The sequence below is a fragment of the Homo sapiens genome, chromosome 12, assembly GCF_000001405.40.
Source record: "Homo sapiens chromosome 12, GRCh38.p14 Primary Assembly".
Lineage (NCBI taxonomy): Eukaryota > Metazoa > Chordata > Mammalia > Primates > Hominidae > Homo > Homo sapiens.
Genome location: NC_000012.12, coordinates 6438475 through 6458433, shown reverse-complemented (window position 1 = coordinate 6458433; position 19959 = coordinate 6438475). Strand labels below are relative to the sequence as shown.

At 50.0% G+C, this 19959-nt stretch overlaps 2 protein-coding genes, 1 long non-coding RNA gene and 1 pseudogene across 23 annotated transcripts in view, besides 11 other annotated features; 1 reads left to right on the top strand and 3 right to left on the bottom strand.

Moving 5' to 3' along the window:
* The window catches only part of TAPBPL (TAP binding protein like), a 20358-nt gene extending 13573 nt beyond the window's left edge, over positions 1-6785 (bottom strand). For 5 of the 8 annotated variants that reach the window (XR_001748777.3, XR_001748778.3, NR_147129.2 and 2 more), the window contains exons 1-4: positions 6122-6392; positions 5137-5367; positions 4718-4987; positions 690-1028 (exon numbers count right to left, since the gene is read on the bottom strand). Coding sequence is in view for 2 of the 8 variants with exons in the window: in NM_018009.5 (NP_060479.3) it covers positions 690-1028; positions 4718-4987; positions 5137-5367; positions 6122-6185 (904 nt within the window). In the remaining 6 variants the exon portion in view is untranslated. Of the gene's footprint in view, positions 1-689; positions 1029-4717; positions 4988-5136; positions 5368-5814; positions 5884-6121; positions 6393-6649 lie in introns of those variants that run through there. The other 3 variants (NR_147127.2, NM_001351355.2, NR_147126.2) reach the window with 3 other exon arrangements.
* Positions 6093-6692: an enhancer, noted in NCBI's record as "active region_5861". NCBI's record gives its function as "activates an Ori minimal core promoter by ATAC-STARR-seq in GM12878 lymphoblastoid cells {active_cell/tissue: GM12878}" and the evidence as "EXISTENCE:reporter gene assay evidence [ECO:0000049][PMID:35858748]".
* Positions 6721-14542, bottom strand: CD27 (CD27 molecule). Of its 14 annotated transcripts, none has more exons than NR_182127.1 (7): positions 13309-13479; positions 12874-13010; positions 12202-12289; positions 8082-8261; positions 7804-7893; positions 7420-7539; positions 6721-7166 (listed from the first exon to the last, which is right to left on the bottom strand). NR_182127.1 is itself a non-coding variant. In NM_001413267.1 (7 exons), the coding sequence occupies exons 5-7, from the start codon at positions 7889-7891 to the stop codon at positions 7042-7044; spliced, it is 333 nt and encodes a 110-aa protein (NP_001400196.1). In that variant the 5' UTR covers positions 7892-7893; positions 8082-8261; positions 12202-12289; positions 12879-13010; positions 14315-14542; the 3' UTR covers positions 6721-7041. The 14 variants fall into 14 exon arrangements, 10 of the variants coding, with proteins under 10 accessions (NP_001400196.1, NP_001400192.1, NP_001400195.1 ...); NM_001413267.1 differs by lacking the exon at positions 13309-13479 and adding an exon at positions 14315-14542 and having other exon boundaries at positions 12879-13010; NM_001413263.1 differs by having other exon boundaries at positions 13203-13479.
* On the top strand, positions 6917-19433 carry CD27-AS1 (CD27 antisense RNA 1). The gene is made up of 6 exons (NR_015382.2): positions 6917-8093; positions 9697-9794; positions 10284-10397; positions 11347-11473; positions 14717-14888; positions 18758-19433. It is a non-coding gene; the product is annotated as a CD27 antisense RNA 1 (long non-coding RNA).
* Positions 7123-7282: an enhancer, noted in NCBI's record as "active region_5860". NCBI's record gives its function as "activates an Ori minimal core promoter by ATAC-STARR-seq in GM12878 lymphoblastoid cells {active_cell/tissue: GM12878}" and the evidence as "EXISTENCE:reporter gene assay evidence [ECO:0000049][PMID:35858748]".
* Positions 7373-7582: an enhancer, noted in NCBI's record as "active region_5859". NCBI's record gives its function as "activates an Ori minimal core promoter by ATAC-STARR-seq in GM12878 lymphoblastoid cells {active_cell/tissue: GM12878}" and the evidence as "EXISTENCE:reporter gene assay evidence [ECO:0000049][PMID:35858748]".
* Positions 12199-12318: an enhancer, noted in NCBI's record as "active region_5858". NCBI's record gives its function as "activates an Ori minimal core promoter by ATAC-STARR-seq in GM12878 lymphoblastoid cells {active_cell/tissue: GM12878}" and the evidence as "EXISTENCE:reporter gene assay evidence [ECO:0000049][PMID:35858748]".
* Positions 12842-13343: an enhancer, noted in NCBI's record as "H3K4me1 hESC enhancer chr12:6554257-6554758 (GRCh37/hg19 assembly coordinates)". NCBI's record gives its function as "activates a minimal SCP1, AML or CMV promoter by ChIP-STARR-seq in primed H9 embryonic stem cells {active_cell/tissue: H9 hESC(primed)}" and the evidence as "EXISTENCE:reporter gene assay evidence [ECO:0000049][PMID:30033119]".
* Positions 13028-13207: an enhancer, noted in NCBI's record as "active region_5857". NCBI's record gives its function as "activates an Ori minimal core promoter by ATAC-STARR-seq in GM12878 lymphoblastoid cells {active_cell/tissue: GM12878}" and the evidence as "EXISTENCE:reporter gene assay evidence [ECO:0000049][PMID:35858748]".
* Positions 13238-13297: an enhancer, noted in NCBI's record as "active region_5856". NCBI's record gives its function as "activates an Ori minimal core promoter by ATAC-STARR-seq in GM12878 lymphoblastoid cells {active_cell/tissue: GM12878}" and the evidence as "EXISTENCE:reporter gene assay evidence [ECO:0000049][PMID:35858748]".
* Positions 14248-14297: an enhancer, noted in NCBI's record as "active region_5855". NCBI's record gives its function as "activates an Ori minimal core promoter by ATAC-STARR-seq in GM12878 lymphoblastoid cells {active_cell/tissue: GM12878}" and the evidence as "EXISTENCE:reporter gene assay evidence [ECO:0000049][PMID:35858748]".
* Positions 14318-14387: an enhancer, noted in NCBI's record as "active region_5854". NCBI's record gives its function as "activates an Ori minimal core promoter by ATAC-STARR-seq in GM12878 lymphoblastoid cells {active_cell/tissue: GM12878}" and the evidence as "EXISTENCE:reporter gene assay evidence [ECO:0000049][PMID:35858748]".
* Positions 15378-15457: a silencer, noted in NCBI's record as "silent region_4162". NCBI's record gives its function as "represses an Ori minimal core promoter by ATAC-STARR-seq in GM12878 lymphoblastoid cells {active_cell/tissue: GM12878}" and the evidence as "EXISTENCE:reporter gene assay evidence [ECO:0000049][PMID:35858748]".
* Positions 15558-15697: a silencer, noted in NCBI's record as "silent region_4161". NCBI's record gives its function as "represses an Ori minimal core promoter by ATAC-STARR-seq in GM12878 lymphoblastoid cells {active_cell/tissue: GM12878}" and the evidence as "EXISTENCE:reporter gene assay evidence [ECO:0000049][PMID:35858748]".
* Positions 19297-19959, bottom strand: SRP14P1 (SRP14 pseudogene 1; annotated as a pseudogene).

Genomic DNA, 19959 nt, shown 5'->3' with positions numbered 1-19959 from the left:
CAACTAAAGATTGGCTGGCTTCTTACTGTCATTCTAAGCCAGTTTTTTTTTTTTTTTTAAGATGGTGTCTTGCTCTGTCGCCCAAGCTGGAGTGCAGTGGCATGATCTTGGCTCACCGCAACCTCCACCTCCGGGGTTCAAGCGATTCTTCTGCCTCAGCCTCCTGAGTAGCTGGGACTACAGGCGCGCACCACCATGCCTAGCTATTTTTTGTATTTTTAGTAGAGACGGAGTTTCACCGTATTGGCCAGGCTGGTCTTGAACTCCTGACCTCGTGATCCGCCTCCCAAAGTGCTGGGATTATAGGTGTGAGCCACCGCGCCCGGCCTCTAAGCCAGAGATTTTAAAGGATAGCAGTGATAATGGTCAGAACCGCTTCCACTGCTCTGCCTTGGTTTGCTGCTGCTGCTCCTCAGGATGTGGTCCAAAAGGACTGGGGTGATGGAGACAGCCAGCCACAGCAGGGCAGCAGGATCCTGGGCTGGAAATCTCTTGGTGGAATTATCCTGGAGTCCAACGGGACTCCTTATCTGATGCCATCTGTGCTTCCATGGTGAAGATGGCATTTAAGTTGTGGGATTGAAGCCTGCTTCTCAGGAAATCATTCTTGCATTTGGGTCCCAATCTGGAAACGCTCCCAGTAGACATGTTATATCCCCTTCCCTGGGATAACCATGTCCTGGCCTCACCTTGGATGTTGAGCTGGATGATCTGCTGAGCTCGGTACAGAGAGGTGGTGATCTGGCAAATGTAGGTCCCCTCGTCCTGTATAGTGAGGCCGGGCAGGGTGAGGGAGGCATCCCTGGCCATGCCCAGTTGTGCAGGCTCCAGGGTAGCGCCCTTCCGCACAGCCTGCCCCTGCCCTGCGGTCCAGCTGTACACCAACTGACCCCTGCCCTTGTGCTGCAGTCGCCACTCCACACTGATGAGGTCCAAGCCCGGTGCCATGGAGAAGCCACAGTCCAAGGAGGCTGAGGACCCCAGCAGGAAGCTCAGGGATTGGGTCTGTGTCATCACCTGGAACTCCACTGTGAAGAGGAAAAGAGGGGTGATTTGTGGGCTACTTCCTCCTTGAGGTCACCTGATCTCCAAGCTGTGGGCATGTTGTGGGCATACACCTGCCTCTTCCTCGCCTGACAGGCCGGTTGAGCTTATTTTCCATCACATGGAACCACAAAGAAATGGGGCTCTGGAAAGGTAGCATGGTACACATGATGGCCATCACCATTTTGGGATCACTTACTCTAGGATAATTTAGTGAAAGCTATGGATCTCCCACCAGGAAAAATACACATGCAAAATTAAGAGTTACCATCAATCTTCAGGTAAGAACTACTAGAGTAGCAGAAAAAGCTCTGAAACCCTGGTTGTTCCACTTACTGGCTCCGTGACCTTTGACAAGTCACTTGGTGTTACCAAGCTCACCTGCTTAAGCAAGGATGCTGTGAAGACTAGAAACAATAGTTTAAAAAGTACGTGGTGGCTGGGTGCGGTGGCTCATGCCGGTAATCCCAGCACTTTGGGGGGCCGAGGTGGGTGGATCACCTGAGGTCAGGAGTTTGAGACCAGCCTGGCCAACATGGTAAAACCCTGTCTCTACTAAAAACACAAAAATTAGCCGGGCATGGTGGCAGGTGCCTGTAATTCCAGCTACTTGGGAGGCTGAGACAGGAGAATTGCTTGAATCCGGGAGGTGGAGGTTGCAGTGAGCCAAGATCGCGCCATTGCACTCCAGTCTGGGCGACGAGTGAAACTCCGTCTCAAAAAAAATGTAAAAAACAAAACAAAACAAAAAAACACACGTGGTATTGGGAAGCCCAGGCGGGTGGATCACCTGAGGTTGGGAGTTTGAGACCAGCCTGACCAACATGGAGAAACCCCGTCTCTACTAAAAATACAAAAATTAGCTGGGTGTCGTGGCGCATGCCTGTAATCCCAGCTACTTGGGAGGCTCAGGTGGAGAATCACTTGAACCCAGGAGGCGGAGGTTGTGGTGAGCCAAGATCGAGCCATTGCACTCCAGCCTGGGCAATAAGAGTAAAACTCCATATCGAAAAAAAAAAAAAAAAGCATGTGATAGTAGTATCTGTGCCAAACATGCTTAACCTAAATCCAGTCATGAGGAAATGAGGAAAACAATCAGACAAATCTAAATGTTGGGATACTCTACAAGACCACTAGCCTGGACCCTTCAAAAATGTCAATTCTATGAAACATGTTCTAGATTAAAACAAGGAACAGCACAACTAAATGCACTGCATGATTCTTGTTTGAATTGTGTACTTAGAAAAAGCAGTAAAAAAAAAAATATTGGGACAAGTGGAGAAATTTGAATTTGGAGACATTTAATTATTTTTTAAAGAGAAGGGTCTTAGGTTGGGCACAGTGGCTCACGCCTGTAATCCCAACACTTTGGGAGGCCGAGATGGGTGGATCACCTGAGGTCAGGAGTTCAAGACCAGCCTGGCCAATATGGTGAAACCCCATCTCTACTAAAAATACAAAAATTAGCTGGTGTGGTGGCGGGCGTCTATAATCCCAGCTACTTGGGAGACTGAGGCACAAGAATCACTTGAACCTGGGAGGCAGAGGTTGCAGTGAGCCAAGATCATGCCACTGCACTCCAGCCTGGGAGACAGAATGAGACTGTTAAAAAAAAAAAAAAAAAAAGAGGGTCTCGCTCTCTATGTTGCCCAGACAGGACTCAAACTCCTGGGCTCAAGCAATCCTCCTGCCTCAGTCTCCTGAGTAGCTGGACTACAGGTGTGCACCACCATGCCCTGGACTTTATAGTTGAGACTATTATCATATCAATTAAAAAATATCTAAAAGTATGAAGATCTGTGGCATACTAGGCAGTCGTGTGGGGAGATAGGGACAGTCTGCCCTAGCAGAGAGGAGTATTTTATCACTGATAATATTCAGAATTGCCAGTGTCGGGAGATGGTGAGACTATAAAGCCATCTGACTTTTAGCTGATTTTATTTTTGTTCTGAAATATTTTACAGTCTGCACTCCCTTATTGCCTGCGCTACGGGTAGACTACTTCCCCACTTTGGTTTGTTTCTGACATGATGGCTTTGTAACTATGAAGGATTACATCCTTGTCCTTCATTGTAAACTAATACATGCTATGGATGTATTTGGGGTTTAAACATGCGTTTCGGGGTTCAAACATGCGTTTGGGGTTCAAGTGTTATCTTCTGCAACTTACTCTCAGTTCAGAGGAAAATACACACGTACACATATACACACATGAGGAGTCGGGGGAGAGAGAATGTGGCAAATTGTTAACAACTGGTGGATCTAGGTGTAGGGTATATAGGTGTTCATTATATTATTATTTCACCTTTTTTTGTAGGTTTGGAATAAAAAGAGAGAAATACCTACGCATGCCAGGAGTATGGTAGACACTGGACAGACATGAAGACCTTTTTCTAATGGGTCAGGATAGATTTAGGTTGGACCACAGAGAGGTTAGAGTGTTCTGGGGTTTTCCAAGGATAGGACGGTTGCCCCTAATTTTCTCTGGACTTGGCTGTTTCTTCTTGGAGACTCAAAGAAGCAGGGCACAGAGTATTGGATTAATGGGCTCTGGGGAACCCTGTCATCATGTTCTCAATTTCTTGTGCCCTCGAGGATGTGCTGAGCTGGAGAGGGCAAGTACTGGGTTTACTAATAAGATCATGAACAAATGATGCATCCCTGAGCTTTACCCCTGAAGCACCAGAGCAGCCTAGCATTTCACTGGGAGAAAACCGGGTTTTGGCTCGATAAGACTACAGTGGACAGCACCCATGTACAGAATAGCATCATGTGTCTTATTTCCTCATGGCAGCCCAGTGAGATGAGAACGATCTCCATTTTGGAAATAACACAGGTTGTCTGTGTGCCTGGGGACGTTCAGGTAGGGGCTGCGAAGCATTCTCTTGTGGACTCAGGGTTTTTGTTGTTGTTGTTGTTTTTGAGACGGTGTCTCACTCAGCTGCCCAGGCTGGAGTGCAGTGGCGCAATCTCGGCTCACTGCAACCACCGTCTCTCAGGTTCAAGTGATTCTCCCGTCTCAGTCTCCTGAGTAGCTGGGATTACAGGCACCTGCCATCATGCCCGGCTAATTTCTGTATTTTAGTAGAGAGGGGGTTTCACCATGTTGGCCAGGCTGGTCTTGAACTCCTGACCTCAGGTGATCCACCTGCCTTGGCCTCCCAAAGTGCTGGGATTACAGGCATGGGCCTTCGCACCTGGCCTGACTCAGGGGTTTTTAGGAAGAAAGGACCAAGGCCTAGGGGTGCCCTGAGGTGACCAGTGTGGATGGAGGTGGATTTGTTCCCTTTCTTCTTCTGTGCCCCATATCTTACCACTTTAGAAAAGCAAAACTTTCTGTGACTTGCTTTTCTTTTCTTTTCTTTTTTTTTTTTGAGATGGAGTTTCGCTCTTGTTGCCCAGGCTGAAGTGCCATGGTGTGATCTCGGCTCACCGCAACCTCTGCCTTCCGGGTTCAAGCGATTCTCCTGCCTCAGCCTCCCTCGTAGCTGGGATTACAGGCACCCGCCACCATGCCCGGCTAATTTTGGTATTAGTAGAGACGGGGTTTCACCGTGTTGACCAGGCTGATCTCAAACTCCTGACCTCAGGTGATCCACCGACCTCGGTATCCCAAAATTCTGGAATTACAGGCGTGAGCCACCACACCTGGCCTTGCTTTTCATTTTCTTACCTGCAGTTCGCACAGTCCCCTGGGGGCTCAGTGGCAAGTTCAGCGTCGGGTGCCAGAGCGCCTCATTCTTGGTGACCCTGGGAGTCTTCATCACCAAGGAGATGCTAGGTCCCCCTCCAGAGACCTGCATGTTGGCCATGAACCAAGCTGCTGTCTTAACAGTGGTCTCTGTCATCTGGAGAAAGTAGCGGGAGATCTCACAGGTCACCTCCTTCCCACTGCAGTCAGCATGGAGCAAGGCCTCGGCCTGGGGAATCTGGACCAGGTCCACTGGGGAGAAGCAGGGCACACACAGAGGGCAAATTAGCGTGAGAACACCAGGGCCAACGGGAGGCAGTATGTGTGGCTGTAATCGGGACCTGGGCTGTCCTGGTGGAGGGAGCCCGGGAGGACCAAGGACACAGGTGGAAGGCTTTTACCTGAGGCCTCAAAGATAATAGGTGGGTCATCTTGGGCCAGTGTGCCCCCTTGGAAATCGGTGAAGTCCTCCAGGGAGCCATCGTCCAGCACTGGCACCTGCTTCAGCACAAGGGAGGCCCTTGCCCTGTCCTCACTGCTGGCGAGAGCTCCACGGTGCGCACCGTCCTTCGCCAGGAAGCAGTCTAGGACCACGTCCACTGCCCGCCACTGCCCCTCTGCTGGGTGGGGCTCTGCAGACAAAGGCTGGGGTGAGCACCGCCTTCCCCAGAAAGCTACTCCACACTTGCTTCCTGCCCCCGCCCTCAAGCTGTGGAGTCATCAAAGGGTAAAAGTTGCCATCCAAGATCCTAGCTGTTTCTGTGTCCCTCTATTCTCCCGTCATCCCCAAACCAGCTTTCTGGAGAGCACCTGCTAGTCCAGGCAAATACTTCTTGGTGAGAGTTAAAGTCCTGGATTTGCCTTGCTCAGAGGAGTTTATGCTTGCATTTCCAACTGTTGAATAAAAGACTATCTTTTCAGTCAAAGGAATTCTCAGAAAACAAGCAAGTGCCACCGCAGAGAGAGGAGACTGGACAGTTACTGTTGCTGGGGCACTGACAGCCTGCACTGCTTTCTCCCATTTCGGGTAGCCTTCCCCTCCCCCGCCTTCAAGGTCACCTTCCAAGTGATTTCCTCACCTGGGGAGTCCTTTCCTCTTCTGAAGTGTCAGCTCCCAGGCCAGTGCCCTCTCTGTAGGACAGTGGCTCCTGACCACAGCCACAGAGGCAGCCCCTCTTTAGCATTTTCCCTGTGGAGTCCCCACCCTCCCTCCACACACACTATTGGTTCCTTCCTTTGCCAGCCGCTGAGCCTTTCCCCTGTTGGGCTTAGAAGGCGATGGGGTCATCCCCGGCCCCTTTGCTCTTCTGGAATCTCGGGGAGGGTGGCACCCTGGGGCTTCAGTAGCTCTTCTCCCAGCCAGCTCTCCCCGACTCCCAGACTCACTGGTTTCTGCTGCTCCAGATAGAGCCAGGCAGAGCAGCAGGCACCAGCCCTCCTGTGTGCCCATGGAGGCTGCTCTCGAGTTCCCTCCTTGCCCACCGCCCTTCTCCACAGTCCTACGCTGCTTGCGAGGCCCGGCGGAAGAAGGGGGCTCTCCAAGCACACCTGGCAGCCTGCAGCCTTTAGGTTTCTTCCCTGTTCCCTCTGCTGCCGACTTTTCTTTCACTTTCACTTAGAGCAAGATGGCAGCCCGCGTCCCTGTGTGAAGCCGTCTGCAGCAGCTGCCAGAGCCCTGCTTGCTGTTTCCTTTCTCACCACCCACCTCACCCGGAAATCCCCTGGTGATTTCAAGACCTGACCTCTGCACCCTTTTGCTCCCCACCTGTCCCAAAAAAGTGGAGCTATAACTGTGGGAAAAGGGGATCTGAAGTCAGACACAGGATCCACAGTAGCCTGGGGACCTTTCTCACCCCCGCCCTTAAGCAGGCCCCAACATAACCGGCTGAGAAACCTCCTCTGCCAGATCCTGACCTGAGCCAGGAGGCGGCCAGGAAACTGGATTTTGGGACTGGGATTTCAGAGAGGAAGCTGGAGAGCTGCAGGGTGGTCATCTGTCACTTTATTTTGCCCGTCTTGTAGCATGTGGGTCTTTCGCAGCAGGAAGTGTGTTTTACAACCAGAGCCCCCGCCCTCCTGCAGCGCAGGCGCAGCTGGCTGGGCTCCTGCTTCCCACTCTCCACCTCATCCATATTTGTCCTCGTCCCTGCCAGTCTCGAAAAGGCACTCTGTCACGTGTACACAGGAAAGGGCCCTGACAAGAGGATGGGACTGCAGTTGTGGCTGCCAGGTCTCACTCTCCCTTGGATGGTCGGCGGGGTGGGGGTGGAGGCCAGGGCTGTAGTGCAGCTCCCGCAGGTGCTGGCTCAGGGGGAGCAGGCAGGCTCCGGTTTTCGGTAATCCTCCTGGATGGGGATGGTGCTGCCCTCCTCCTCCCTGGGGCAGCTGTAATGACAAGGCTCTGCAGGCTCCACAGGACTTTCTCCTTTGTCTGCAGAAGGAGATCCGATGAGTCTTGGCCAGCAGTGGGGGCAGGGGGAGACGGGAGAAGGAGATGGGTAGAGGCGGGTGCGCTTGGGGGAGGGGTGTCAGGAGCACGCCAGCTAAGGGGAGAGAAGGGGTAGGACCAAGGCTGGTGAAGTGGAGCTGGTGGGTTTCAGTGAGATTCCAGGCGTGGGCAGTGGGGTTGAGCCAGTGGGGTGTGGTGCAGGGGCAGGACCGGAGGCCTGTGTTCTGTCTCTTACTTGATCTATATTTCCTTCGTTGATGGAGGAACAGGGCCCCGGCCAGGGTGAAAACAAGGAACATTCCAGAGAAGATCACAAGGATGCGAATAAAATCGGAGCTGCACAGGGATCTTTGGGCTGTAATAGGAGGGGACACACAGGGGTTAGGGGAGGGTCTAGCCCTTGGCTCCCTCAGCCCAGCCCTCCTGTCACCTTGCCTCTCCCCTTTCCCCCACCTTATTCTATCCCACCCGCCACCGTTGGCCAACTCCTCTCCTAAACAGTGGACTCTGCTTTTTCCCCTCCTCTTATCCCTAATCCTAGGAGCTTTCTGTCTGGCTTCCCTCCTGGCCCCTCGTGTATGCATTCTCTCTAGCGGTGGGGATTAAGGAGAAAACTCACGTGGCCAGTGGGTAGAGAGAGTCCGGGCAGGCAGCTGCCTGAAGTCAGCCAGAGTCTGCATGTGCCCAGCTGTCCTGGCCTCCAGCATCTCTGGAAAAACAGAGACAGAATGAGTAGCAGCAGGGGACCCCATAGGGCACATCTGAAGGCCTGAGAGGTGCTGGATGGGATGGGAAGGCAGAAACAGGCTGACCTTATCTAGGGGTAGGAGTGGGGAGTACTGGTTGGGGTATCACCGCTACCCCACGTGATGGCACAGAGAGTTGCCTGGAACTTACCACTGACATAAGGTAAGTGGGTGGGCTGAGGGTGTGGGCTCAGGGCCTGAGACGACCGAGCGGTCAGCGAAGGGTTTGGAAGAGGATCACACTCGGTGCACTCCTTGTCCCTGCACTGCCAGCCATTGCGACAGGCACACTCAGCATTGGCAGTGATGGTGCAGTTGCGAACGAGAAGACCTGGGGGAAGAGAGGCCCAGGGAGCATAGGACACTCAGACCTGTGGAGACCTTCAAGGTCCACTTGCTTCATCCCCCAACCCCCATCCCAGGCCCACCTCTAGGGACGTGCTTCCCTTTCCATTCCCACCCCTGCAAAGGCCTGCCCTTTGCTCACGGTCCCCCAATGCCTTTGCCATTATTATTGTTATTAAAGAAGAAAGTTGGACCTTTCAGAAGGAAGATTCATGGGTTCAGACATAGAAACCATGAAAAGTAGAAAGAGCTTATATGACTTTCTCTTGTACTCCCTGATACATTTTTTATTTTTTATTTATTTTTTTGAGATGGAGTCTCGCTCTTGTTGCCGAGGCTGGAGTGCAATGGCGTGACCTTGGCTCGTTGCAACCTCTGCCTCCCGGGTTCAAGCAATTCTCCTGCCTCAGCCTCCCAAGTAGCTGGGATTACAGGTGTGTGCCACCACACCCGGCTAATTTTTTGTATTTTTAGTAGAGACGGGGTTTTACTGTATTGGCCAGGCTGGTATTAAACTCCTGACCTCAGGTGATGCACCAGCCTCAGCCTCCCAAAGTGTTGGGATTACAGGCGTGAGCCACTGTGCTCGGCCCCAATACTTTAATAACTTTTAATTAAAGTATAATATACGTACAGAGAGGCACGCATGATTGTAAAGCTTAAGAATTTGTACAAATTTGGCTCACAGGCATAACCAGCAGCAGATCAACAAATATAAAATAGCCGGGTGAGGCAGGGAATTGCTTGAACCCGGGAGGTGGAAGTTGCAGTGAGCCGAGATCACGCCACTGCACTCCAGCCTGGGCAACAGAGTGAAACTCCGTCTCAAAAAAAAAAAAAAAAGAAAAGAAAGAAAGAAAATAGCCAGGTGCAGTGGCTTACGCCTGTAATCCCAGCACTTTGGGAGGTTGAGGTGGGTGGATTGCTTGAGCTCAGGAGTTTGAGACCAGCCTGGCCAACATGGTGAAACCCCGTCTCTACAAAAAATACAAAAATTAGCTGGGTGTGGTGGTGCACACCTGTAGGCCCAAGCTACTGGGGAGGCTGAGGTGGGAGGATCGCTTGAGCCCGGGAGGTGGAGGTTACAGTGAGCTGAGATCATGATACTGCGCTCCAGCCTGGGTGACAGAGTGAGATCCTGTCTCAAACACCACCAACAAAAAACAAAACAAAGTATATTAGGGATTCCCAGGGGCTGGGGCTGGGGCTGGGGTTGGTTGGGGGGAAGAAATGGGGAGTCATTGCTAAGGGGTACAAGTTTCTCTGGGGTAACGAAAATGTTATAGAATTAGATAGTGTTGATGGCTGCACAACCTGTGGATACACTAAAATAAATAAATAATAAATAGTTACTTGATTACAGTTACTTAGCCTTTATTTTGTTTGTTTGTTTTTTGACAGAGTCTTGCTTTGTCGCCCAGGTTGGAGTGCAGTGGCACGATCTCGGCTCAGTGCAACCTCCGCCTCCTGAGTTCAAGTGATTCTCCTGCCTCAGCCTCCCTAGTAGCTGGGATTACAGGTGTGTGCCACCACACCTGGCTAATTTTTTGTATTTTTAGTAGAGACGGGGTTTCACCGTGTTAGCCAGGATGGTCTCAATCTCCTGACCTCGTGATCCGCCCGCCTTGGCCTCCCAAAGTGCTGGGATTACAGGCGTGAGAATTTGCCTTTAAAATATACATTTTGCTCAAGTGTAGAGGTCCGATGCTGGGTGGCTGGGTGTTAATTATCCTGGGGGCGGGTGTGGTAGGGCACTAGCTGGGCTGGGCTGGGCTCGCTGGCGGCTGGTTTGAGAGGAGGGTGATTCAGAGGAAGGCAGTGACACCCAGATGTGGGACAGGCTGCAAGAAAGCCTGGTGGGCCTTAGGGCAGACACTTGTGGGGACCCGGGGAGCCCTAGGTGCCCTGACAGGTGGAAGAGGGGTGCAGAAAGGGAGGATGTCAAAGAGAGAATGTCAAAGGTCATAACCAAACCTAACAATTTTCTTCTACTTATGCCTTTTGTCAGGACAAGGAGAGGGACAAATTCCTTCTTGGCATCCTTATGGCCCTGTGACCTGCTAATGAATGCTGACTCTGAGTTGCTACTAGAATTTGGTTTCCTTGTGGCTTCCCAGGAATTGTGAGCCATGTTGGATAAGGACCTGCAAGGGAAGAATGAGGAAGCCTGGGACAGTGCAGGAGGGGAGAGCACTGGTGGTAGAGAGGAGTGATGACAAGGGTCTCCGCCAAAAGGGAAATGGAGGGGTTAAAGAAGCTGCTGGGGAGGGTTAAAAACAATGTGTTCTCACTCGTAGGTGGGAATTGAACAATGAGAACACTTGGACACAGGAAGGGGAACATCACACACTGGGGCCTGTCGTGGGGTGTGGGGAGGGAGGAGGGATAGCATTAGGAGATATACCTAATGTAAATGATGAGTTAATGGGTGCAGCACACCAACATGGCACATGTATACCTATGTAACAAACCTGCACATTGTGTACATGTACCCTAGAACTTAAAGTATAATTAAAAAACAAAACAAAACAAAACAAAAACAATGAGGTGCTATTGTTTTAGTGGTGAGTATCCGGAGACCTGGGAGTTCTATTTACCAGGTATAACCTGGGCTCAAAATTCCAGGCTGACTTCAGGCATGTCCTCATCTCATAGATGCCAGCACTAAGGCCCAGAGAGGGCCGAGCTCATTCAGCCCACCCATCTTCTCACCCCTGACTGCATTTCCCGGGGGTCCTTCTGCAGCCAGGTGCTGCTGTGGTACTTTGGGATCTATTGGCTGAGCTCCCAGAGAAGGGTCATGGATTGGGCTAGTTTGGAACAAGTGAAGGGACTGAAGATGGGCTCAGTATGGGGCGAAGACCTTCAGGAAGGGTCTGCAGAGTGAGTAGGGGGGTTTTGACTAGGAAAAGTTCCAACCCTGCCGGGGCCGCTGTCAAGAGAAAAGCATCTATTACAGTTACATTTTTAAGTTAAGTAGACTGAAGAATATTTCTTGTGTATTAAAGACGTTCCTTTTTGGTTGATTTGCAATGGAAAAGCTTTTGTTTTCTTTTTTTTTTTGGAAACAGGGTCTCACTCTGCTCACTCTGTCTCCCAAGCTGGAGTGCAGTGGTACAGTCACGGCTCACTGCAGCCTCCACTTCCTGGACTCAAGTGATCTTCTCACTTCAGCCTTCTGAGTAGCTGGGACTACAGGTTCGTGCCACCACGCCTGGCTAACTTTTTGTATTTTTAGTAGAGACAGGGTTTTGCCATGTTGCCCAGGGTGTTCTTAAACTCCTGGGCTCAAGGGATCCGCCTGCCTTGGCCTCCTAAAGTGCTGGGATTACAAGTGTGAGCCACTGCTCTGGCTTTTTGTGTGTGTGTGTGTGTGTGTGTGAAAAAGGGTTTTGCTCTGTTACCCAGGCTGGAGTGCAGTGATGTGAGCAGCCTGGACCTCTTGGGGACCTCTTGGGCTCAAGTGATCTTCCCATCTCAGCCTCCCAAGTAGCTGGGACTGCAGGTGCACTACCATGACCAGCCAATTTTTTTAGAGACAAGGTCTCACTATGTTGCCCAGCTGGTCTCAAGCTCCTGGGCTCAAGTCTCTACAAAATATGCAAATACCCTTCTGCCTTGGCCTCCCAAGTGCTGGGATTATAGGCATGAGCCACCACATCTGGTGTTGGTTTTTGTTTTTGTTTTTACGGGACCAGGCACTACAGCTCACACCTGTAATCCTGGCACTTTCAGAGGCTGAGACTAGAAGATTGCTTGAGCCCAGGAGTTCAAGGCTGTGGGGAGCTATGATTGCACCACTGCACTCCAGCCTGGGTGACAGAGCTAGACCTTGTCTCTAAACTAAACAAAACAAAACCCAGTACCAAGAGACCCAGTGACACCAAACACGTTTTGCAAGTAGGTAGTTTAATAGTTACAGTTACCTGGTTCTAAAAAGTGTCTTGCTAGAGAACATTTGTTCAAAGGGGCCACTTTAAAGCCTGCTATTCTAGTGTATACTGGCCGTAGTTTCTGAAATTGTAGCGAAGATGGAGAAATAATAACAGCATTCATAAGCACAACTGCAGATATTATACTTCTTAGTTTAAAAAAAACCTTTTTTTTTGGAACTATAAAATAAAAACACAGGCTACATACATACTCATTTTCTCAAATTGGCTTTTGTGCAAAAAAAGGTTGTTACCTATTGGGTTGCTTTGTTATTTCCTTAGAAAGATGTATTCCAAATTCCCAATGGCCAACCTGCACATGTGCACTCTGGGAACACAGTCAGTTTATTGGTTGGGGGTTGCTTGCCCGAAATCTGGGGTCATAGAGCCACTTCTCTCATTTTATTGTCTTGATCCTATCCATAGACCCGTTCTCACCAATCCCTCAAATTCTATTTATCCCTTTCCTGGAATACTAGATGTCTGCCCACGTTAATTCATGCCCCACCTAGGGTGCCGCATTTCCCAGCATTGGCTCCACTTGCTGTGAGCCTTGAAGAAGGCCAAAGCTTTGGCCCCGTCATCCTCCTTGCACCCCCAAACCCGTCACCAGCCTTGCTCCCCCAGATGCTTGTCCATCGTCCCCACCTACACACCCTTGCCCACCTCACCAGAGTTACAGTGCCGACAGCTCTCACAGTGGGGCCGGGTGTGGTGGTCAGGAGAGAAGGAGACCCCCGGTATGCAAGGATCACACTGAGCAGCCTTTCTATGCTGGTCACAGTCCTTCACGAGGAATGTTCCTGGGAGGAGAGGGTAAGGGATCAAGGCCTGAGAAGGGCTGGTTCTCTGCCCTCTTCAAGGTGGTGCCTCCCCACAGCTGCAGGATTTCCCTCCTTGCTTGAGCTCAGTCTCACCCTGCGCCTATTTACTGTATTAACCCCAGTCCTCTCTCTTTCGCCACTCACCTGGCCCTTACCAAGGCCCCCTCTTACCTGGCTCACACATCTGGCAGCACAGCTTTCCCTGAGCCCAGTAGTGCCTCTCTGGGCAGCTCTTGGGGGCTGGAGTAGCTGAGAGCCCCACCAGGGTCCCCAGAACGCACAGCCACCAGGGATGTGGCCGTGCCATGGTCCCTGCCCAGGCGGCTCCTTTCTGTGCCCAGTTGCTGATGCTGGCCTCTGGAGTTAGCACCTCCAAGCTGGGCGCTGCTGTCTCTTCTTTGCACCCCCTGGGCAGTGGCTGCTTCAGGTGGCAAGCCAACCTTTGAAGGCAGAATCTCTATTGTGGCTGTTTTTTTTTTCTCTCTCATAGCAGCAACCTCCACCCCCTTCCCCTTCCGTGTGCTGGGGAGAGTATTAAAGAGCAAACTCTGTGAGACCTGCTGCTCTTCAAACATGCTTCCTCCAACACATGAGCCTTCCTTAGTTTCCGCCTCTCCTGCTCATGAAGCACGTAGCCCACTGACTCCTGCTTCTTTGACAAAAAGGTGATGGACACACAGTTGCTCACCCCTCCTATTCATGCACTTGTGCACAAAGGTGCCCACGTTACCCCCCCCCACCCACCCCCCCGTCCACAGTTTACAGACGAATTCGCAGGACTCCTGTCTCCCATACCTGCATCCCTCCTTTCACAGACAACAGTTGAAAGAAGGAAGGAGAACCAGAATTGAGCACAGGTCCACAAGCTCTTATCTGAAACTTTGGGGGTCAGATAAGTTTTGGAATTCAGAATTTTTCAGGTTTATACAGAAACCAGCACCACAAAACACCCTTGGGGAGTTGGGGTAGTCTCATAATCAAACGCAACATTTCTGCAGCAAAACTATTGAATATTTACACCAACTGGGAGGAAGCTTAAATAGCCTTGTCTCAATTGAGGTCTGGTTTGATGGCCAAACGAGTTTGCTACAGAATGCTCAGAATTGCAAGCAAGGGGTGTAGAGCTGCCTCTCTTCTGTCACACTCTGACCGATCACCTATGCTCTCCTTTAATCCTCATGTCAGTCTCTGATGTGGGTGCCACCTACTGCCCACATGGCCTTCCCTCTCAGACCCTTGCTCACTCCTCACTTTTGTGCCATCTTTATCCTCCCCTTTCCCACCTCTGGCTGTGTCAGTCACTGGTGTCCTGGATCGCCTGGAGCATCTTCTCTCCTAGCCTTGGGCACTTGGGATTAAAGGTAGCTTCCTACGGGGGTCATCTCTTTTTTATTTTCCCAGTTCTCCCAGCAAGACTGATTTCGGGATATTGGAAACAGCTAGACTTTTCCCTCTTTGAGTCATGGGGACACACACGGGTCAACAGCCTCCTCCACTCTTTCCTCAGCAACCGATATGTGGAGTGGCTTATTTCCCCAGGAAGTTTTTAATTTAGGGGCTTTGCCGTTGTTTCCACACTGTTCATAAATGTCACACTGCTGTGGTCACACCTGTCAGATCTGTTCTCTATCTCACTCTGTAGTTTCCTTTCTCCTCATTTTCTCCATTCTCTTGTCTTTTCCCAGCCCCCTCTGCAGCTCTTCATGGGGGTCCACTCAAGTCAGAAGCCACATTTGGGTGTGATTCAGAGAGCTGTTTATGCAAAACCAGCTTTGTCACCATCAGGCAAGGCACCTGAATTCCCACCGCAGAGAGTGTTGTGGCCGTGAGGACTTTTCTGTCACCAGCCATTTCCAGGTTGTGGTAAATGTGTTCACTGCAGGCATGGGGCAGTGGGGTGGCTAGCTGACTGCAGGCCCTGGGAGGGTGGATGAGACCCTCAGAAGAATCATGAGGAACTGGGGACCTTTAGGAAGAAACTTGTCGAACAGGGACTTGCAGTTCGCTGAGCCTAGCAACCTTGAACCGACTGGGAACTGCTCACTAGCCTAACGCTGCTGTCCTCTGGGCCAAAGCCCATCTCCTCTTTTCTACATATCACTTCTCCAGGGGGTCAGAGCAGGAGCAGGGTCTGCCTGGCTTTCCTGGAGGGCCTCGGCCAAGAGGAGGAAGGCCAGGTTTCTGGACGTTTTTCTTTCCTAGGCAAATAGAATGAGCTCATCTCCAGCACTCTTTGCATCCACTTCTGGTGAGCCTTCCCCATCCTAGGCTGGCTCCCTGGACGGGACCTTCCTTTTTTTTTTTTTTCCTCCCTCCATTTCACTCTGTCACCCAGGCTAGAGTGCAATGATGCAATCTCAGCTCACTGCAACCTCTGTCTCCCAGGCTCAAGCCATTCTCACGCCTCAGCCTCCTGAGTAACTGGGATGACAGGTGCGTGCCACCACGCTCAGCTAATTTTTGTATTTTTAGTAGAGATGGAGTTTTGCCACGTTGGTCAGGCTGGCCTCAAGTTGATCCGCCCACCTTGGCTGGGATTACAGGGGAGAGCCACCGCGCCCAGCTTATTTTTTGTATTTTTAGTAGAGATGGGGTTTTGTCATGTTGGCCAGGCTGGACCAGAACACCTAGCCTCAGGTGATCTGCCTGCCTCGGCCTCCCAAAGTGCTGGGATTACAGGCACGAGCCACCATGCCTGGCTGGGCCCTTCCTTTTGTCTAGAGGCCCTGGGATGCAGCCCGCTGACATCTTCCTTGAAATCTCACACAACCACTTTCTCTTTTGGGGTCAGCCTCTCCCCCATGCCTGGCTGGGGCATAAAAACATATGGTATTTTCTCAACAGCTCCCTGCTTTTCTTTCCTTTCCAGAAACAGGCCCACAGCAGCCCTTCTTGAGAACTCTGAGGACTCTCATGACTTTTTTTGGTTCTTTTTTTTTTTTTTTTTTTTGAGAAAGGGTCTCTCACTGTTGCCCAGGCTGGAGTGCAGTGGCATGATCTCAGCTCACTGCAACCTTTGCCTCCCAGGTTCAAGCGATTCTTATACATCAGCCTCCCAAGTAGCTGGGATTATAGGCACCGGCCACCATACCCGGCTAATTTTTTGTATTTTTAGTAGAGACGGGGTTTCACTATGTTGGCCAGGCTGGTCTCAAACTCCTGGCCTCAAGTGATCTGCCCTCCTCGGCCTCCCAAAGTGTTGGGATTACAAGCGTGAGCCACTGTGCCTGGCCTCTCATGACTTTTGAGAGGGCCTGACCAACCCTCCACCTGGCCCAGTGACTGTAGCCTAGATGTCAGCCAGGGGCACCCTGCTCCTTAAAATCTAGATAAGATGCTCTTTGCTTCCCACTCAGGGCAAGTCCTGGGCAGGCTGTCCACCTGCATGAGTTCCAGTAGGTTGGGTGTTCTTGTGGCTGCCTCTGGCTCTGATTTCTCTTTCAGCTAAAGTCTTGTTCTTGCCTCCGTGTCTCCTGTCTGTTCCCTTACCTGTACCCTGCCTCAGGCCCAAATTGTTGGACACAAGACTTGCTTAAAGTTTCCTCTAAACCAGCTCTAAACAGAAGGCTGTTAGGTGTGGCAGACTTTGTCTTTTTTCTCCAATTTTTATGAATCAATAACCTGTTAAAGCGCTCAGCAGGACCAGTCTCTGCAAGACCTTTCCTTAGGAGGAAGTTCTGTTATGGGACAAAGATGTCCGCAATCACTGTTCCTGACTTAGGCTTCCTGAGTCTCATCACCTGAAGCTCTGAGTTTGTCTGGCCCTCTTTGTCCCCTGCTCCCCATTGCTTCCTCCCCGACTCCCACTTTCTTCGATGACCACCACCAGCACTGCTGCCCCCACCACCTTAAAGCCTCCTTCCCAGCAAGGCTTTGAGAGGCCACCTGGTCAGGACAGTGAGTTAAGCTCATTAATGAGGTTCTGGGTCCTCGCAGCTCTGTAATTTTCATTTCTGCACCTCCCCAGTCTGGGTGACACAGGAGACTGACCAACTATGGGTATTTCCAGCCTCTGCCCACTCCTCAGAAGCCCAGCACAGCTCCCAGTGTCTCCTAGCACGTAAGGCACTGGCTAAACATTGGATGGTCCAGCTCAGCTTTGTGCTGTAGCGGCTCTGTCCACAATTATAAAATGGAAACGTCAGAGGGCTCAAGGCCCCTTAGACCTCCTCATTCATTTGACAAGCGTTTTTTGCACATTCATTTTGTGTTAGGAACCAGCCAAGTAATGGGGCACAAAGATGAAAAACAAACAGACAAATATGTGGTTTCTGCCCTGACGGAGTTGACACACCAGTGTGAGAGTCAGACATCGATCATATAATCTCAAAGACAAATGTAAAATTGGCCAGGTGAGGCGGCTCACACCTGGAATCCCAGTCACGTTGGGAGGCCGAGGCGGAAGGATTGCTTGAGCCTAGGAGTTTAAGACCAGCCTGGGCAACAGAGTGACACCCCGTCTCTACACATAATAAAAATAAATTAACTGGGTGTGGTGGCACGTGCCTGTGGTCCCAGCCACTCGGAAGGCTGAGGTGGGAGGATCACTTGAGCCCAGGGGGTCGAGGTTGCAGTGAGCCATGATCATGCCAGTGCACTCAAGCCTGGGAGATAGAGCAAGACCTCATCTCACAAAACCCAAAAAACAAAACAAAATTAAAATTAGTTAGTAATGGTCATTATTGCTATGAAGGAGAGAGTTGGGGTGCAATATAGGTGTCTATACCCCTAATAGGGGGATTTAAGGGGTAGGGAGTGCCTCATCCAGGAAGCAAAGTTTAACAGAGATATGTGGGATCTGGCAGCTCTCCACCTACATGAGAATTATTACTTCCCTTGGTTTCTGTGACACGATTCTATTTTCCTTGCTTTGACCACTTGTTTTTTAAGTGCTATTTTTTATTTTTTTATATACAGATTATATACAATAGGGATAATCTGTTCCTTGAAAGCCTGGTAGAACTTGATTTGCTTGTGTGTAGCTGTTTCACTGTTATTATTATTATTTTTTTTAGGCTGTCTTGCTCTGTTGCCCAGGCTGGAGTGCAGTGGCATGATCTTGGCTCACTGCAACCTCCTCCTCCTGAGGTCAAGTGATTCTCCTGCCTCAGCCTCCTTAGTAGCTGGGATTACAGGTGTGCGCCACCACACCTGGCTAATTTTTGTATTGTTAGTAGAGACGTGGTTTCACCATGTTGGTCAGGCTTGTCTCGAACTCTTGAGCTCAAGTGATCCACCTACCTTGGCCTCTCAAAGTGCTGGGATTACAGATGTGAGCCACTGCACCCGGCATACTTTGCCATTCTTTTTCTAATGTATTGGATGCTTAATTAATTTAGAAATTTCTTATTTTCTAATATATGCATTTAAGGCTATAAACTTCCCTTGAAGATCTACTTTAGCTACATCTCATCAGCTTTGCTATATTGTTTTTTTCATTATTGTTGATTTGCTTTTCCCGTTATTATTTATTTTTACCTATATTTCATTTATAAATGCATTACAAATTTTCCAGATCTGTGGGGCTTAACTTTTTGTTGTTTATTATTTTAATTTTAAATTTATTGTGGCCCGAGCACTCTGTCTGTGTAGCATGGCAGGCAGCACGTTGGTCCCCCGAGGACATCTGCGCCCCTGAACTGCATGTTAATATGGCAAAGGGGAGTTAAGGCTGCAGATGGAATCAAGGTTGGCCTTGCAATGGGTGATTATTCTGCATTATCCAGGTAGACCCAGTGTAATCACAAGCATCCTTGTAAGTGGCAAAGAGGCAGAGGAGACAGCGCCAGAGAGGCAGCTGCATGAGAAGGATCAAGATGTTGCTGACTTTGAAGTTGGAAGAAGAAGGCCATGAGCCTCAGTATGTGGGCGGCTTCTAGAAGCTGGAAGGGGCAAGGAGATGGATTTGACCCTTCAGCCTCCAGGGGCAGCTGTACCTGCCATCACTGATTGTAGCCTGGTGAGGCCTGTTTTAGACTTCTGACCTGTAGAGCTGTAACATAATACATTTGGGTTGTTTTCAACCACTAAGTTTGTGGTAATTTGTTGTAGCAGCTGTAGAAAATGAATACATATGAATCCTCTGGCATTTGTTTGAGATTTGCTCTATGGCCTAGTATGTGGTTGTAAATGTTCCATCTGTGCCTGAAAAAATGTATATTTCTAATTCAGTAGTCTCTGCTTTTTTTTTTTATTTTGTACCCCATCAATAAAATGATTTTCAGCATGTATCCCCAAATAAACAATATTTTATTTATTGATTGATTGATAAACAGACATGTTTAATGATAGCTTGCTTTTCACAGAGGTGACTTCGGAGACTTCTAATCTATAATCCAGGAGTATATAACCATGCAGCACAGACCAATTAGTCACATGTAAAATAAACTAGATTCTTACCACAACTACCCTGTAAACATGGCAACTATTCTTTCCAAGAGGACCCTAATCTTATGTGAAAACACCTACTGTGGGGGAACCAGAAACCTAGCTATGTGGCCAAAAGTAAAAACCAAAGGAAAAAATAGCAATTCAGTGGTTAATTGGTGAAAGCAGGGAATTTGTGCCCTTTACTGTGCTGCTGCTTTGGTCTTTTTCCTTTTGCTCTTTTTGTCCCTCTTCTCAGCCCGTCCATGTTAGCTCTCAGTAGGTTTGAATAAGCCATCTGAAACTTACTCACTTCCTTGGAGTTCACCACAGTGCTCATCTTCTTTTTCCCATCGATAGCTCTTAACAGACACTTGTTGTCTGAGGGCTCAAAGCCCTCCACAGAACCTTTCTTTGGAATGGGTTTGGTTCGACCATCATACTTCTTCAAGGTGATATAGACGCTGCCCAACGTCCGGCACTTCTGGTAGAGTCTGGTCAGCTCCGTCAGGAATTGCTTGCTCTCCAACGACATCACTGCGGCGACGCTGGCTCGACTCCC